This window comes from Homo sapiens, chromosome 1, assembly GCF_000001405.40.
Source record: "Homo sapiens chromosome 1, GRCh38.p14 Primary Assembly".
Lineage (NCBI taxonomy): Eukaryota > Metazoa > Chordata > Mammalia > Primates > Hominidae > Homo > Homo sapiens.
Window position 1 is genome coordinate 221,484,662 of NC_000001.11, and position 20,092 is coordinate 221,504,753.

At 38.9% G+C, this 20,092-nt stretch overlaps 1 long non-coding RNA gene across 1 annotated transcript; it reads right to left on the minus strand.

Annotated features, from left to right (window-relative positions):
• Nucleotides 1-7,626: 7,626 nt before the first annotated feature.
• Nucleotides 7,627-19,599, minus strand: LOC105372934 (uncharacterized). Its single transcript, XR_922622.2, has 3 exons — nt 19,360-19,599; nt 12,422-12,635; nt 7,627-7,665 (listed from the first exon to the last, which is right to left on the minus strand). It is a non-coding gene; the product is annotated as an uncharacterized LOC105372934 (long non-coding RNA).
• Nucleotides 19,600-20,092: the final 493 nt, after the last annotated feature.

Consider the following 20,092-nt stretch of genomic DNA (forward strand, 5'->3'; position numbering starts at 1 on the left):
TATGCTTGCATAAAAGAGTCAGAGCCAATTTGTCTAGGCTGCATGTCTGCAGCAAATTTGAATGTCTATAGTAAGATAAAATTCTACAGGAATGACTCTGGTGGTGAAATAATTTTTTAAAAAATGTAAATGAGTAAATAAAGGATTTGCAGAGAAGAAATACATTTGTAGAGAAGAAACCATTACTGGTTTTGTACCTCCATTCTTTGCAGGGAAGAATGTGGCTGGAAATATAGAGAGTAACCACATAAAAATGCGCTTACCCCCTTTTTAATTTATTTTTTCCTTTCGCATTTTCTACCAGTAGAAGAACAAAGGTGCCTGGAGAGATAGCCTTTCTGAATATTCTTTATATTTAATATGATTGCATTGATCATTTTTAAACTCTTCTTATTTGCCACTGTGGAGAATTTTTTAACTTTTATATAAAAATATATGTTTCTCAAGAGCAAATGGTAATATATACAGTCTACAGTGGATGAATCAAGAAATAAGGATATGCTTGCATTGTGCAGGATGATGATAGAAAATACCCAAATATTAGAAAGGATTTTTTAAAAGCAGACTGGGTTGGGAGGATATATTTTGAAGAGGAATCTCTAGGGAACCAAGTTCAAGTCCCTTCTCATATGAAAGCCCAAAGAGTATGGTAATAAGGTCCTCTCCCCACCCAACGTTACCTAAAGAAATGGGTTCAGTACAAATTTACAGTGCTGCTTGAAAAGCCAGGAAATCTGTTTCTCCACTCTTGCGCTCCACCATTAGGGGAAATTTTGACTGCTAACATTGCTTCTTGCGCTACCAATGAACTCTTTTCCACTCTTTTTGCTACCCAAGGCTTCTAACTCTCAGCTTGTTTGCCTTGTGACTTCTGCTTCTTTGTGCCTTCTCTGTGTGTCTTATTCTGCCTTGCTATAGAAATCTCTGTTTCTCTGTATGTCATATTAGACTCTAAAAAATAAGGTTCTTGATTGAGAATATATCACTTTCCCAGATAGAATCTCCATCTAAGGGAAAGCTTCAGCTCTAGCCTTCTTACAAGGATCAGGCCAACCTGTAGGGGGTGAGTGGCTTAAAAACCTTCTCAGCGGAGGCCAAGGCAGACAGATCACCTGAGGTCAGGAGTTCAAGACCAGCCTGGCCAGCTGGCCAAGATGGTGAAACCCCGTCTCTACTAAAAATATAAAAAATTAGCTGGGCGTGGTGGCAGGCACTTGTAATCCCACCTACTCAGGAGGCTGAGGCAGGAGAATTGCTTGAACCTGGGAGGCGGAGGTTGCAGTGAGCTGAGATCACTCTACTGCACTCCAGCATGGGCAAAAAGAGCGAAACTCCGTCAAAAAAAAAAACCCAAAAAACCAAAAAAAAAACAAAACAAAACAACAACAACAAAAAAACCCTTCTCAGTGAGAAACCACAGGAGTGGCAGGCACCCTGGGGCTCCCCAAAGGGAATACTACATCAGACACCTTGGAGAGGCTTGCATTTTCATTACATTCTGCATTGTGATATTGCAATATTCAAGCTTGATGTAGACACTTTCCACGATGGAGAATTTGGCCTCAAGACTGCAACATTAGAGACCCTTTCTAAGTTTCCAGCCTGCCAGCTTGTTCTCCAAATCTTGGACTCATCAGCTTCCACAACGTGTGAACCAATGCTTTGAACTCTCTTGATGATAGATAGATAGATAGATAGATAGATAGATAGATAGATAGATAGATTTCTTTCTTGAGGAAGTCCATGCATCATTAGGAGCTTCAAATAATTGGCAAATTCTGCAAATTGAGACTCAATCTGTCTTCCTCTAGCTGCCACCTGTTATGTACTATGTCTATGTCCTCATCATATAGAGCATGATCAATTCTACTTCTACCTGACAGTCATTAATTTCATTCAATAACATTTTCACACAATTGACAAATCCAGAGGACAGATATCAGTATTTTCAGTTATCTAGACAGTGATCTGACCTGCTAGGTTCTCAGTCAGTGACCCCACCTTAAAACCACTACAGAACAAAATAATGAGGAATCTAGTGTCAGGTCAGCTTGAATCAGGGTTTCTAATTTCCACTTATTCTCTGTGTGACTTTGAGCAAGTTACCTAACATCTCTGACCTTCTGTTTCCCAATCTGTAAAATGAGAAAAAAATACCAACCTGCTAGGGTTGCTGTAAGCATTAAGGAGGACCATGTGTGTACAGCACTTAGCACAGTGTCTACCATGTGGTAAACAAGGGACATGTGGCAGCTTTTGTTACTCAGGTAGAGATGGCGGGCACCATTTCATCAGCTTGTGCTCTCGAAACTGCTACTGTCTGTCTTGTCTCTGGAAACTTGAGTCAGTAGACAGGTCTCCTTTGAGTAAGTGTAGGAAGGAGAAGTAATACTTCTCACTGCCTTCCTCCTTACTCCCTCTCAGCCCCAGCTCCTATCCCCAGCTCTTTATTTGGCTACTTTTCATAAGCCTCCTTCTGGGCACCAGCTTCTGTGGGATGTTCTTTAGGGACCCTCTCAGCTGGGCTGGTGCCTCTTCTTGATGATTCTATAATGCCTCGAGCCTATCTTCATCATTACATCACTGGACTATGTAACTTATTTTTTTTTTGAGATGGAGCCTCACTCTGTTGCCCAGGCTGGAGTGCAGTGGCGAGATCTTGGCTCACCACAACCTCCGCCTCCCAGATTCAAGTGATTCTCCTGCCTCAGCCTCTCGAGTAGCTGGGACTACAGGTGCGCACCACCATGCCTGGCTAATTTTTGTATTTTTAGTAGAGACGGGGTTTCACTATGTTGGCCAGGCTGGTCTCGGACTCCTGACCTTGTGATCCACCCGTCTCGGCCTTCCAGATTTGGACTTACTCATTTTTATATCCTTATTATGGGTAGAGAGCTTGGAACATTCTAAGCACTCAAAAATATTTAGTTCAATGAACAAAGAAATGAATGCTCCAACCATATCTATTCAACAAATTATCTCAAACAAAATGATTTCTATCCTTGTGCCTTATGCACTAGCATAGAACCTTAAAGTTCTATGCTAGTTGCTTTTACCTGTTAATTAATAGATCCTAGTTCTTTAATTTGAGAACTAATCTGCTGTATCTGCATTGAAAATTAATCTCCAGAGATATATTTTAGGCTTTGGACATTGGCTATGTAACCATTCTCCCTGTTCCTTTCACCCTGAATGATTTTCAGCATCTCTATGCAATTTCCGAATGCAATGTCCCGGTAAACCCGTTCACACACTTGACATAGAAAAAAACGTTGTGTTTGTTTATACAACTGGCTCAGTGAACAAGGATGAGAAATTGAGTTATTTATTCGATGACTCAGGCCTTGGTTACTAAACTGGAATTTGCCTCTGTACCTTGAGGGAGTGGAGAAAAGAAATCAAATAGATTAAATGAGACTGTTTGTCTTTCTGTACTTCTGCCGGAAACGCTATGCATGGGATAATTAGGTCCCAGGAATAGGAAATCTGGCCATGAAATAAAAAATACAGACTTATCATCCATAAGAAGTGGCCAGGTTCTGGTCTCACCAAAATGTTTGATGTTAACAAATGTATTTATTTTCTAATCTAGAAAGTTCTTGGCACAAATGTTCAACCCCTCTTGGAATTACTCAGCCCTGTGATGATTTTGTGGTGCACATCTATCACTAGACAGCATCGTAATGTGTGTTTTTCCCATGTGAACACTATGTGGAAAGGGATCCATGAAATGCTATAACATGGAATGTAAAAAAGTTGGTTTCCATCTTCTGGGAAGATGCTGTCAGAAACAATATGTGATCTGGGAAATTGACTGATGGACAACAAATATTCATGTCACCATTCCAAACCCTGTCACTTCTATTCAAGAAGCACCTGAAGTATGTGTAAAGGGAGCAATGAATTCTCTCTCCTGCCCATGTTGCTTAAGTGCCTCATTGCCTCCCTACTTAAGAAATGCCTAGCAACTCAAAAGGCATTAGCATGTGTGCAATGAAACTTGATAAGTATTTATTATCAATAATCAAATGGCTAAGATTTTGTTTGTGTAATTATTTACACAGGACTGTGGAAACCTCAAAGCAATGTGGCTCATTACACCCACGATATCTCATACTCATATCTCAGGAAAGTTCTAAGAAGATTGCTTAATTCTTTAATGCATTTAGTAGCAGCTCACATTAGCAGTCATTTCCTAACTCTCTAGTTCCTATCCACTTTTGAAAAAAAAAGTAATTGATTTACAATGTCAATTAAGCATGTATCAGTGCATGCCATATTTTATCCTGGTCTTGTGTCACCCATCCCATTTCACAAAACCTATATGCACACATAGACATTATTTCCTGTCAGATGGGTGATATCGAGTAGATGCATTTATTCATGGCTTTTTTTTTCTAAGAAAGTACAACAGTTTATTGAATACCTACTATGAGTCAAGCAAGGTACATAGATCCTGATTTTCTAAATTATATACAAATATGCCAAGGCCACTGTCTTCCTGGGTCACAAGATGCTTCTTTCTTTTTCTGCTGCCCCCATCCCTGCCACTGCCTTGTGTTAATCAGAGAAGGCCCCAAACACAAGTAAAGTCCTCTTGACTTTAGGCACACAGGAAGGCACAAGATGATGGGAGAGGTGAGAGGCAGCACTGTCATTACTTGCCTCTATCTACAGACCCAGCTGGTGCTCTGCAGTATCACCCCAACAAATGGCCCTGCATCAGCTTCACATCCTGTCAATCAGCCTTCCTTGCAAGGCCTGGTCTCAGCTTCATCACATTTGTGCTTTCAGAGCCAATGACGTATTTCTCATTTTCTTTCAGGAAGGCTTGGAAAGATCTCATTTTCTTCTCCTTTAACTTCTACTCTAAAAATAAAATAAACCAAAAATACAAACTGAAAATCTGTCAGTCAGAAACAACCCATTCTTTGCTGTCGTACCAAGTGAGAAGCACTATGCTTTCCAATCCAATTCAATTGGTTTAAAAGTGCTTTTAGACTATTGCTTGAATTTTTCTTTTCAAACTACAAAAGTCATTTATGCTATGTTGGCTATTGAAGCAAATTAAATAATATAACAAAAACAGAGATATTGTGTTAAATATTTTGTTTATCTTTTCACACTTACCTTTTATTTCTTTTTATTTTTTGAGACAGTCTTGCTCTGTCACACAGGCTGGAGTGCAGTGGTACAATCACAAGTCTCTACAGCCTCAACCTCCTGGGCTCACACAATCTTCCTGCTTCAGTCTCCTGAGTAACAGGGACTACAAGCATGCACCACCACGTCCAGCTAATTATTTTTAATTATTATTTTTTTTTTTTGTAGAGACAGGGTCTCACTATGTTGCCCATACTGGTCTTGAATTATTGAGGTCAAGTGATGCTCCTGCCTCAGCTTCCAAAAGTGCTGGGATTACAGGAGTGAGCCATGGTGCTTGGCTGCATACTTACCTTTCTAGATCTCATGCCAATTACATGCACGCACCCACAATCTTACACACATACACATTTTCTTTAAAAAGATTTGAGCCACAAACTTTACTAGAAGAAATAATGTTGTAATAATTATTTCTGGATTTTTATTTAATTTAAATGAGAGTAAAGGAGGTATAGAAACAAAAATATATGAAACACCTAGTATGTGCAAAAATTTTTTTTTACTTACATTATTTATTTAATTCTTAAAATTGCCCTGTGGAGTAGATTCGATTGACTTCAATTTATAGATGAAGACACAGAAGCTAAGGGAGAGATAAAAAACTTACCAAAAGTCACATAGTTAATAAATGATAGAGTTAGGAGTTGGCACCCATTCTTTCCAACTTTAAGTTCCTTTTGCTACTCCATGTTCATTCTCTCAAAGACACTGTGCTAACTGCTGTGGAAAAGAAAAGGATGAATAAATAATGTCCTGGACGTTCTCTTTTGAAAGTCATTGTTAACTGAGGGAAGTTCTTTGTCACATTGCATAGGTGGCATTTAGTGGATGAAACCCAGGAGCTAAGTGTCTTGTCATGTGCAGCACAACCCCACACAAAAAAGAATTGCCCAGACAATGCTAACAGAACCCCTTTGAGAAGCTTTACACTGCAGGCTTACAATTGTGAGAAAAACATGGAAATGTAAACAATGGAACTGGGGAACAAAATTAAGTAAATGCTAAATTAAAATACCGTTTATTTTTAAAATACTGATGAACCTCTTGCTTTTCTAGGCTGATGGAGGTTTTGCCAGCTTGAACATGTAGTTTCCAAAATGACTCTGGTTATCAATATCCATCCAGTAGAAGGAGAAAGAGGAAGAAGATTGTGTGGTAGAAGACTGAATGAGCCAGTCCTGGAGTCCCTACTACTCATACTCCATTGGCCGGAACTCAGTCACATGGCCACATCTGACCATGAGGCAGTCTGGGAAATGGATTCCAGCTGTGTTCCAATGAGGAAGCAGGTTCGATGAAGATCTAACCAATCTCTCTCTCACAGAGGTATCAAAAAGCATTAAAGAAAGGCAGTGCTATTTTCCTTTCAAATTCTACTCCAACTCATTCTCTTACTCTGTAAATAGCTTCAGCATCTGCTCAACTTTCCACATTATTTCAGTCACTAAGTCTGTACTAGTCCATTTTCATACTGCTATAAAGAACTGCCTGAGACTGGGTAATTTATAAAAGAAAAAGGTTTATTGACTCACAGTTCAGCATGGCTTGGGAGGCCTCAGGAAACTTACAATCATGACAAAAGGTGAAGAGGAAGTAAGGCACCTCCTTCACTAGGTGAAAGGAAGGAGAAGTGTTGAGCGAAGGGGGAAGATCCCATTATAAAACCATCAGATCTCGTGAGAACTCTCACCATCACAAGAACAGCAGGGGGGAACAGCCCCCATGATTCAATTACCTCCACCTGGTCCCACCCTCCACACATGGAGATTATGGGAATTAAAATTTGAGATGAGATTTATGTGGGGAAAAGAGCCAAACCATATCAAAGTCCGTTTGTTTTCTCATTCATTTAACAAACATTTTCTGGCTATTAATCATTTTGCCAGGAACTGTGCTAGACACTGGGAACATAATAGTGAAAAAGACACAATATTTTATTATTAGTCAATGATAATGGACTGAAAGAAGAATATAGTTGACCCTTGAACAACGAGGGGATTAGGGACACTGACACCCTGTGCAGCTGAAAATCCATGTATAACTTTTGAATCTTCCAAAACAACTCATGCCTGTAATCCCATTACTTTGGGGAGGCCAAGGCAGGCAGGTCACTTGAGCCCAGGAATTTGAGACCAGTCTGGGAAAAATGGCAAATCCCTATCTCTACAAAAAAAATTCAAAATTATCCAGGCATGGTACTGCATGCCTGTAGTCCCAGCTACTTAGGAGGCTGAGGTGGGAGGATCGCTTGAGTCCAGACCCGAAAACTTAACTACTTATAGCCTACTATTGACCAGAAGCCTTACTGAGGACATTAACAGTCAATTAACACATATTTGTATGATATGTGTATTGTATACTGTATTCTTGTAATAAAGAAAGCTAGAGAAAAGAAAATGTTATTCAGAGAATCATGAAGAAGAGAAAACATACTTACTATTCATTAAGTGGAAGTGGATCATTATAAAGGTCTTCATCCTCATCATCTTCACATTGAGTAGTCTGAGGAACAGGAGAAAGGAGAGGGTTGGTCTTGCTGTCTCAGGGGTGATAAAGGTGGAAGAGGTAGAGGAGGTGGGAGAGGAAGCATATATTATATTATAAAAGTAGTATAGTATGTGCTACAGTTATTTTATGCAGTTATGATTTAATATGTGTTTACTTTTTTAACATTTCTCCGTACTGTAAATGGCACCATCTGTGATCTGTGTTTGTGTGTGCAAGTTTTGATTTTTTAACTTTTTATAATAGATTTGCATATATTTTGATATGATAAATGATAACAGACTAGTATCTGCATATATTTCATGCATTTCTAACATACCTTTTTCTTATTTTTTTGATATTTATAGGCCATGCAGTTCATCTGCAAGTTTTCTCTAATTGTCAAAAATCTCCAAAAATTTTTCCAATAGGTTTATTGAAAAAAATCCACATATAAGTGAACCTGCACAGTTCAAACCTATGCTATACAAAGATCAACTGTACAGTAAAGGTGATGTTTTCAAAATGTAAATCAGGTCATATTACTCTCCTGATTAAAAGTCTCCAAAAGTTTTTCCATTGCTCTGTAGGAAAAAAAATGTAAATGATTTGAAATGGCAAAAGAGATTACTGGGTGTTGTATTAGTCAGTTCTCACACTGCTAGTAAAGACAGACTTGAGACTGGGTAATTTATAAAGAAAAAGAGATTTAATGGACTGCCAGTTCCACGTGGCCAGGGAGACCTCACAATCATGGCAGAAGGCAAAAGAGGAGAAAGTCACATCTTACATGGCAGCAGGCAAGAGAGCTTGTGCAGGGTAACTCTCATTTATAAAACCATCAGATCTCCTGAAACTTATTCACTACGACAAGAACCACATGGGGGAAACTGCCTCCATTATTCAATTATCTCCACCTGGCCCCACCCTTGACACATGGGGATTATTACAATTCAAAGTGAGATTTGGGTGGAGACACAGGCAAACCATATTAGTGTGTTTTTAATGAGAATATTAGATGTTCTCTGGATGACCCTCTAGGATTATCTCATTCTATAGGATTTAGGCTTATTTTACAAGTCATAAATTGTAAAAAAAAATGTAATAATATAAATGATTCTTGCTTATAGAAATGCAAATGATTTTTCCTGGCAGAATACAATTGATTTCTACCCTGTGGAAAAGGTTATTCTAAGTCTTGAGTTGTATTGTCTTATAGCTATTAAGAGTTTTGCTTCTATTGGCAAATTTATTTCACAATTCCTGATTGTGTGTGTGTGTGTTTGTGTATTCTTCAGATATATTGATGTATATATATATATATCATATTCTGATTGAACCAGTTTAACATTTTACTGGTTTCCTTATTAATGAATGAACTAAATTACACTAGTGATGTGCATTCATTTCATATTTGTGGTAGAGTCATAATTTTAACTTTTGAAAATTATAGTTTAACAGCATTTAGAATAAAACCTGGACTTCCCATACTTTATTCACGTTCCACAATTTAAAGCCCTATAAAATCTAGGATTTGTTCCCTTCCCGACCTCATCTACTATTCCACCTCACCTTGCTCACTCTGCTCTTGCTCCCCTTCCCCTCTCTCCTTCCTCAAATACTCTCATGCATTATTCCTAGTTTCCACTTAGATCTCATCTCAAGTTTCCTGTCCTCAAAGAAGCTTTTCCTGTCAGGCTCAATCACATTGCCCTGTTTTAATATCTTCAAAAATGTTAGAATTATCTAAAAGTAACTTGCTCTTGTATTCACTTAGGTATTTGTTTTTATGTCCTTGCCTGTTTTGTTCACTGTTATATTTCCAGTGCCTAGCAGATGATCTAGCCAATAAATATTTTCCATAATTCTTTTTGGATAAAATAATTGACATAAAATAAAAGTAAAATGACTGTGTCCAGGAGACTATAAAAGAGGTTTCTCTGACTCATCTTGGGGCAACTTCAGCAGGCCTCTGCATCTGAGCTCTCCTCTCTTTCCTGAGGAAACTGCCATCTCTTCCCACTCTTACCCTAATCATTCGCTAACTGGTTTCTACTGACTGATGTTCCTCTCGTAGGCCATCCTTTACCTAGGGATTCCCAAGTCAGCTTTTTGTCACACAGCTTGTATTAGTCATGGTTCTCCAGAGAAATAGAACTAAGAGTATATATATATATAGATATTTGAGAGGGGATTTGTTAAGGGAATTAACTCACATGAGTATGGCAGCTGAGAAGTCCCGCAACAAGCCATCTGCAAGCTGAGATGCCAGTGTTGCAGGACTTTTTCCTTAGTTCAGCTAAAGACGGGGGTCCTTATCACACGGCCATGAAAATTTAGGCTCACAGACAATTTGAAGGGTGAATAGAATGGGATTTATTGGGCAGAAAGGAAAGAAAGGAAGAACAGGGACTCTCCACAAGGCCAGAGTCCCTGCTCCTGTGCTTCCTGCCTTGCAGTTTGAATCCTAGCTTCCACCCAGGAAGAGGAGGGGCCAGGTTCCTCCCCGCTGCAAACAGCACGAACTTCTGTGGCTCTGCCCAGTGCACATTCCTCCCAGTGAGCAGGCTGGTTGGAGTTTTTCCAGGGAGCCCTTCCCACCAGGCTGTCTTATTAGCATGGTTCAGTCCAAGTCAATGATGAAACTTAGTATGAGGCTGAACACCTGAGAACCTGAATGACTGCTGGTGCCAGTCCCTGAGTTGAAACCCAGAGAACTTGGAGTTCTGATAGGAGAAGAAAGGTGTCCCAGTTTCAGGAGAGAGAGAGTAAATCCCCCTTTCCTCTTTTTTGTTCTATCTGGACCTTCTGCCAATTGGATGTTGCCCACCCGCATTGGTGAGGGTGGATCTTTTTACTCAGTCCATTGAATCAAATGCCAATTTTTTCTAGAAACTTCCCCACAGACATAGCCAGAAATAATACTTAACCAGCTATCTAGGTATCCATTATTCCCACTGACACATAAAACTAATCCTCATACATGTCTTAGGGAGCTCTTAAAAATAAGAATTCCTGGCGTGGTGGCTCACACCTGGAATACCAGCACTTTGGGAGCCCTAAGCAGACTTACTTGAGGCCAGGAGTTTGAGATCACTTGAGGCCAGGAGTTTGAGACCAGCCTGGCCAATATGGCAAAACCTCATCTCTACTAAAAATACAAAAATTAGCTGGGTGTAGTGGCACACACCTGTAATCACAGCTACTTGGGAAGCTGAGGCATGAGAATCGCTTGAACCCAGGAGGCAGAGGTTGCAGTGAGCCAAGATTGTGCCACTGCACTCCACCCTGGCTGACAGAATGAGACTCCATCTCCAAAACAAACAAACAAACAAACAAACAAACAAACAAACAGAATTCCTGTGGCCTGTGCTGATCCCCAGGAGAAGCTGATGTGGCAAATCTGGTATCTTTATTTCTGATAAGCTGAAAAGGAGATCTGTGGTAGTCTGTGACAACATTTGGCAAACTAAAATGAATCTTAGTGAAAAATAAAAATGGATCACATCTCTTCCTTGTTCCTAAATCTTTGTGCCACCTCATTGCTAGCCCCATAATATTCCAATTATTTAGCTTAATAGACAAAGTCAGCCCCATTCTGGCCTCCATGTCTCTTTCCCATTGTGTCTTTCTGTCACTCCTTGCCTCCTACCATGTGGGCCTTTCAGACAGACACTGATGTCTCCCTTCATGGCCCCACATCTAACATATTCTGCTCTGCGCAGGACGACATCTTAATAGATATAAATCTATTCATCTTTCCATAGAGCTCCAGTGTGACATCATTGAACCTTCCTTGTGGCTTCATTCCTATGTATTTTCAGAGGTTTGTTGTTGTTGTTGTTGTTGTTAATAGTGCTGTAATAGCTTTTATCTGCTGTGTTAAAATATGTCAGTTTACTAGTTCCTCTCTTCCAGTGGACTGTGAGAATCCTTGAGGATAAGAATTGTGTCTTATTTATCCTTATCCTTATTTATCCTTATCTTATTTATCCTTATTTATCCTTATCCTTATTTTGCCCAGGTTAAGTGTTTGGTAAGTGTTTTGATAAATAGAAAAATGATGGGAAAGATGCTATTTTCATTGAACTTTGAAAAACAATGAGAAGGTAAACAAAATAGAACAGGGAAAATGACATTCTTCAAATAGTGAGCAGAAAGACATGGAAGAACCAAAGGCTAAGGGAAGATGCTTATGGGAATGACAAGTGTTTAGTGAGAAGGAGCCTGGACTACTGGGGCATCAAAGTGGGACACAATAGCGCGACAAGGACTGGCTGTCCTTGCAAGTTGAGAATGAGGCATGAAAGTTCAGGTTTTGTTTATAAGCAAAGTTATAGAGCTAAGGAGTTTGATTTTTCTCTCTTGAATGTTAGTCCCATTCTTCCACTGAGGAATAAGTAACAAGAATCACATTGTCATTTTAGCCTTGTCAGCAGCGAGTGCTCCACTGCACTATAAGTCTGATAAGAACAGTGGAAGAGACATTAGCTATAAATGTTGGCAAGAATTATCATTGTTCAGACTTCTGCAACTGCTCTCATCAAGATGTTGGGGGAATTGCCCCACTTCACAGACAGTACACCTGGAGCAGGGTGGGAAATGGCAGGGGCAAGGGGATTAGAGCTCCTAATGAAAAGAAGGACTCATGAGAATAAAGAGGGCAAACTCATGTGGGGGACAAGGAAAATCGATGAATTTAAATCAGATTATACCCCTATTATCTACCAATATGCACTTGAATTGGTCTGAAAGGAAAACCATAAGAAATAACCTTTTACATGGTGCTGGCATGTTAAAATAGAACCATGGTTTCCTTCCTCCTCTTAATTGCATCTCAGGGCATCCCACATTGACGCTTCTCAGATGTTCATTCTCAGGGCTGTTCAAGGCCACGCCTAACTAGGACTCTGGTATAGCACACACTGGATTCCAGGCAAACTTCCAAGTGTTTTGGACACATTCACTTACTTCCCTCCGCAACAGTCCTGTAAAGTGAAGAAAGTGAGGCTCAACTTGGTTAAGTGATATAGCAAGATCACAGATTTCCTTCAGAGATTTGAAAGATGAAGGAGACAATCTGACACTTTGGAATCCCAGGTGCCTTGAACACCATATATTTCATCTAATTTAAGACCACAAATTTTTATGATTGATCATTATTTTATATACCATGACAAAGATTGGGGGAAAAGGGGTCTGCCAATTAACCTACAATGCACTATTGTATAATAGAAACATTTCTATTCAAATATGTCAAAATGTTATGAAAAAAATGTGTATTTTAAAGTTAACGAAATAAGGTGTATTGGGCAGAATTATCTTAGCCTCTTTGTCTACAACTACCTGTCATGAGAACATAACTAGCACTAGCATGGAGCAGAATGTTATGTTTAAAAGAATATCCCAGAAAGGTGAGCTTATTGTATGATTTTTTTATGTGGGTCCAGGGTGTTTTTTAAAATATATATTTTAAATTAAACTAGAGTTTGGCATGAAGTTTTTTGATTATGGATATTTCCATTTTTGGGGGCTGAAAAAATGTTTTCTTCCCCTATCAAATTTAGAATACTTGGAATCTTCAGTAAAAAATAAAGCTAAAGATTTGGTTCTGATTGCTCAAAGACAGCGTATCAGCAAAACATGCTTTATACAATAATTTGCATGAGGCAGAATGTGTCTCTGCATCTTAAAGAGGTTTCTGTAAATAGTGGATTGGTACAATTTCAACAAACTCCAAAGAGCTTATATACCAACCACCTTGTTGTGTGAGTATAGTGCAAAAAAGAAAAAAAAAAAGGACATAAAAGCCAAATATAAATGGACATATTATTATTATTAGAGACAAGGTCTGGCTCTATCACCCAGGCTGGTGTGCAGTGGTGCCATCTCAGCTCACTGCAATCTCCACCTCCCAAGCTCAAGCCATCTACCCACCTCTACCTCCTGAATAGCTGGGACTAAAGGTGTGAGCCACCACACCCAGCTAATTTTTGTATTTTTATAGTAGAGACGGGGCTTTCACCATGTTGCCCAGACTTGTCTCAAGCTCCTGGGCTCAAGTGATCTGCTCACCTCAGCCTCCCAAAGTGCTGGGATTACAGGCGTGAGCCACTGTGCTTGGCTAACACCTAATTATTTTAACATAAAAAAATCATGAAACAAACAAGAAATCAAATTATAAATTAAAAAATTTTAGTGGTAAAAAATAAGACTAAAATATGTCAACACATGTAATAGAGTTAAATGGTACTTGGGGAAGATTTTAGAACCTTGTATATAAAATTCAGAGTAAAAAACCTGAAAACATAATAAATAAAATTTCCAAGTCAAGAAGTTAGAAAAAGAACAGAAAGTAAAAAGGAAGCAAAATGAAGGAAATAAAAATACCAAGATCAGATATTAAGAAAATAGAATGCAAACAAAAATAAATAAATCTATGATGTGTTTGGTTGCAAAGATTTATAAAATAAATAAAACTTTGACAATACTAATCAGCGCAAAAAGAGAGAAGGCACCAAAAAATAATATGAGAAAATAGAAAAGGACACTTAACTAGAGGTAACATTGTTTTTTTAAAAAATACTATGAACAATTTTATAACATGAAATTTGAAATTTTAGGAGAAAGGGTAACTTTCTGTTTTTAAAACATATTAAAAATCTTTAAAAATTCTAAAAATTATAGCCATCAGGTAAAATAATCAGTATTATAAAATCAATTCTTTAAAAAATAAAGCAAACAAACAAAACAACAATGACAAAACAAACTGGTTTTATAGGCAACTTTACGAAAACATCAGAGAAAATGTCTGTATCATCTAAAAATTGTTTTAGAATATAGAAAAATTAAGAAAGTATTCCAATATATTTTATGAGGAAAGTATACCTGATGGTAAAAATAAGTCAATATCAGTCCAAAAAAGTACCATTTTAGTCATTCTAATTTATAAGTAGATTCAAAAAATTAAATGTTTAACAGCCTAAATTCACTAATTGAAAAATAAGGAACAATAATGTATTATTAATGATTAGATTTATTTTGGAAAGATATTTTATTTAACAATTGAAGAATTAATCAATGAAGTTTACCGCATTAACACATTAACAAAAGAATCATCTGAATAGATTTCAAAAAGCATTTGTACACTCAAATGCCTATACATTATAATCTTATCAACTTGATTTGTGTTAATTAAAGGTAACTATAAACTTATAATGCATGTATATTATATATATATAATGCACATATATTCTCATTAAAGCCAGAAAAAACAAATTTTTTTTTTTTTTTTTTGAGATGACGTCTCACTCTGTCTCCCAGGCTGGAGTGCAGTGGCTCAATATCAGCTCACTGCAACCTCTGCCTTCTGGGTTTGAGCAATTCTCCTGCCTGGCCTCCTAAGTAGCTGGAATTACAGGCATGTGCCACCATGCCCAGCTAATTTTGTATTTTTAGTAGAGACAGGGTTTCACCATGTTGGCCAGGCAGGTCTTGAACTAATGACCTCAGGTGATCCACCTGCCTCCCAAAATGCTGGGATTACAGGTGTGAGCCACCACACTAGGCCAAATGAATTTTTAAAATTATTTTTCTATTTAGCACTTAATTTGAGATCTTAGCCGGTGCAATGACATAAGAAAAATAAAATGCAATATAAGAAATGGAAAGGAAAGAACACAAATCTTATTTTTACATGCTAAGATTATTTGTATAGGCAATTCAACATCTACATGAAAATTATAAGAACTAATAATCAAAATTGTTGGATACAAGATTATTACATTAAAAAATCAAAGCAGCCCTATACATTAGCAACTAAAAATAATGTTTAGGAAAAATAATTTGCTTATAATACATATTACATTACATCAAAGCAATGAGAAACATAGAAATAAATTTAACAAAAGGCATCATTGTAGGAAGTAAACTAAACTAATTTATTGAATTAGATAAAAGAAAACATAGAGTAAATAGGATAATAAACTACAGTCATCCATTGGTATCCATAGGGAATTAGTTCCTAGACCCTCCATTGATATCAAAATCTGCAGATGCTCAAGTACTTTATATAAAATGGTGCAGAATTTGCACATAACCTGCACATATTCTCCCATTTACTTTAAGTCATATCTAGGTTACTTATAATATCTAATACAATACAAATGCTATGTAAATAGTTGTTATACTACATTTTTAATTTATTATTATTATTATTTTTTCCAAATATGTTGAATCGTGGTTGGTTGAATTCACAGAACCCGCAGATACAGAGGGCCAATTGTATGTTAATGTGTGAATGGGAATGCTCAATATTATAAAGATGGACATTATTTTCAGATTAATCTTTAAACTCAATATAATCATAATGAAAATCACTACAGAGTTATGGACAGAATTCGACAGAATGAGCCTAAAATTTATATTAAAGAATTAAGAGTCAAAAAAGACAAAAAAAATTTGAAAGGAAAGAATAATAAGGGGAATTTACATGATCAATATTAATATTGTTTATAAAATTGTTATATTTAAAACAGAATATTATTGGCACAGATCTGGATCAAAAGAACAAAGTACCCTAGAAAGAGGCTCATGAATGTGCGACAACTTGCTATGTAACAAAAGTGGCATTAAAAATAGTAGGGAAAGGATAGATTGGTTTAAAAATGGTCCTAGACTTCAGATTGGTTTAAAAATGGTCTTAGACTTCAGAGACATCTGATGCTGGATTGAGCAAACATCAGGCTATACCTGCAGAGTCTAGAGGTGTTATTTGGTCCTGCTTACATTTCTTGCTAGAGGGTTGGACTGCACTGATGCTGTGCCATAACTGACTGACTCCCTTGTTCATCAACAGTAGCGCCGCTCTCCCCTTATTCCAAGAATTCATCAACGGGGCTGTTCCAAGGATAAAATAGTAGGTAATTTTATGTCTTGACTCATTTTCCTTTAAAGCCTCACGTGTACATAGGTCCAAAGTTGTATATCTTTCATAGAAGCACAATGAAGTGAATATTGCAGCAAGTAGTGGGATATGTTTTTCATGGCCTTTCCTGTTTCCCAAAAAAGCAGCCCCAGCCGGGTGCGGTGGCTCACGCCTGTAATCCCAGCACTTTGGGAGGCCAACGCAGGTGGATCACCTGAGGTCGGGAGTTTGAGATCGGCCTGACCAACATGGAGAAACCCCATCTCTACTAAAAATACAACATTGGCCGGGCATGGTGGCACATGCCTGTAATCCCAGCTACTCGGGAGGCTGAGGCAGGAGAATCGCTTGAACCCGGGAGGTGGAGGTTGTGGTGAGCCAAGATCACGCATTGCACTGCAGCCTGGGCAACAAGTGCGAAACTCCATCTCAAAAAAAAAAAAAAAAAAAAAAAATCAGCCCCAACCCTGGAAAGCTATTGAGAAAAGTTCCTTAGGAGTGAGGTCTTCCTATGCTAGTCTGAATCTGTTCTTTCCCATGCCTGGGGAGCAAGGGCACAAAGAGACCAAAAGGAAAACTCAGGTTGGAAGCAGTCATGTAGATTTTTGTTAGGGGATATATATATACATATTTTCCTCCCAAATTTGGTCCTGAAATCGTGATTATTTGATTATTTTCTTAATGAAAATTTAAAAAATTAAGTCCCTATATCATACACACATATATACACATATACAGATACACAGTCAGGGTTCTCCAGAGAAACAGAGCCTATAGAATAAGTGTGTGTGTGTGTGTGTGTGTGTGTGTGTGTGTGTGTACACAGACAGAGAGAGAGACAGATTATGGGAATTGGCTCACATGATTTTGGAAACTGAGTCCCATGATCTGCCATCTGAAAGCTAGAAAACAAGGAAAGCCAGTGGTGCAATTCAGTGAGTTTGAAGGCCTGAGAACCAAAGGTCTAATAACTCAATGGGGTACCTCCCAGATGAATTGGAAAGCCTGAGAACTAGAGAGATGATGGTGGGGGTGGGGTCACTGGTACTAGTCCTGGAGTCCAAAAGCCTGAGAACCAGGAGCTCCAATGTCCAAGAGCAAGAGAAGATGGATGTTATAGCCAAGCAAAAAATGTGACTTTTTTACCCTTCATGTCCTCAAAAGATTAGATGAGGCCCACCCACATTGGTGAGAGAGATCTTCTTTACCCAGTCTACTGATTCAAATGCTAATGTCCTCCAGAAACACCTTCACAGATACATCCAGAAGTAATGTTTTACCAGCTACTTGGGCATCCCTGAGGCCAGTCAAGTTGACACATAAATTAACCATCATACATACATTACTGGAATCCTTATCTTAGTATAGGAAAGAATTTGTCAAACAATATACAAAACCCACACACCTTCAAGGAAAATATTGGCATATAGATATATTAAAACTTTAAACTTGTACATGGACAGAGAAAAAAGACAAGGAGAAGATGTTTACAATGCATATAACTAACTTTACATGACTCCTACAAATCAATAAGCCATATTGCCCATTAGAAAAGTATGCAATGGACATAAACAGGCAATTCACAAATGAATAAATATAAATTGTCAATAAATATATAAAAACCTGCTTAAGTTTATGAGTAAGCAGAAAATCCATATTAAAACAATAAAAAGTTACTATTTTGTTACCCCAAAATTGGCAAAAAATGTTTAAAATCCGATAATAGCAAATATTGGCAAAAGTGAAGGGAAGTAAAAACGTTCATTCAGAACTGATGGGAAAATTAATGGATACAATTTATATTCCATTTTGAAGAGGAATTTGGCATATCTAGTAAAGTTGAGGACATATTTGTAGACCTTTTTTTATGGATAACTCCTGAATAAGCACACGGAAGACAGGGTAAAATGTTCAAAGCGGTAGAAAAAATATAAATGGTGGTATGTTCACAGCATTTAAAATGGATCAAGATTTCAAAATATAATGGTGAGTCAAAAAAGCAACTTGCTTTTTCTTTCCAAGTTGTGGATTAGAGGCTTTTAGCATGCCTTGGCTACTTGGAAATAGTAAGATAGTACATAGAGATCAACTCTTTTAGTTTTAATTCAAGAAGGAAAATGAGAATCCACCAAAATCATGAAGGACACCCCAGATCCCAGAGAGGAGAACGTGAGCAAACAGGCCCTGTCACAGCATCCAGCTGATAAAAGTGAGTAAAGCCCCAGTACTTGAGAGAGGCCGGGAGCCTCCCTCTGTGACTCACCTTTCCACGGGATCCGAGCAACCCAGGCTGAGGAAGAGTGCTTTGTTTCCCCCAAGCCCCTGAGCTATCTTGGGGATAGACTTGGAGGTGCTGAGAGAGAAAGACACTGGGAAAAGCTGCAGGCATTTTCCCTGACCTGGGACAGAGAACAGGAAGCCACCTTTAACCCAGGCACACACAAAATCAGCCATTCTTTGGTGACCCAGCAATATAGCCATGCAGGCATTTTTGTTTTAGGCCAGAGATTGGAAAATTGTTCTAAAATAGGGTAGGGACACACACAGCCAGAATTGCAGTAAATGCCTCAGCTGTAGGCACTGGAATGGTGCTTTCCCCCGTTGTAGGCCTGGGGCAGCTGCAATTTATCCTGGGCCACAAGACCTGCAGCCAGGGCCAGCATGGTGACCTAGAACTAGTCTCATGTATCATTGCTGGGTGCCCCAGCCTGCTCCTCTGAAATCACAGTACAGTAGAGACCCGTCGGGTCCACCTCCAGGAGGATCTCCAGGCATTCTGTACTCACCTGGTTCAGTTGCCTAAGCAACTCCACCTTTCTTGGGCATAGATCATGGTTAAGTGGGCCCTTCTGCTTCACGCCAAGGCAGATATCCAGGCGTTAAGAGCACCTGCTTGTATGGACTAGCAACTTGAGGTGCCACACTCTTCCTGTGGGGAGATCTTGGTGCAGTAGAGCCCTCTCTGTTCAATGTCCAGGCAGATCTCCAGGTATTCAGAGCACATGCTCACCTGGATCACCAGTCTGACCCACCCCACCCTTCCTGGACATAGAATGTGGTACAGCAGTGCCCTCCCCATTCCACTCCCAGGTAGCTCTCCAGACATTCAAAGCACTGGCTCATCCACATTGGTAGCCCAAGCTGCCCCACCATTCTGTGCAGAGATTCTGGAGCAAGGATGCCCTCTCTGCTTCATGCTCAGGCAGATCTATGAGTATTTGGAGCTCCTTCTTGCCTGGTTCAGCAGCCAGAGTCACCCTACTCTTCCTATACAAAGATCTTGGTGCAGGGAAGCCCTCTCCCCTCCATGCCCAGGTAGATTTCCAGACATTCAGAGCATCTGCTCACACAGATTGGCAGCCTGAGTGGCCCTACCCTTCCTGCACAGAGATCATGGTGCAGCAGGACCATTTCTACTCCATACTCAGACAGATCTCCAGGTATCTGGAGCATTCGCTCACCTGGACCAGCAGCCCGAGCCAACTCACTCTTCCTATATAGAGATTATGGTGCAGCAGG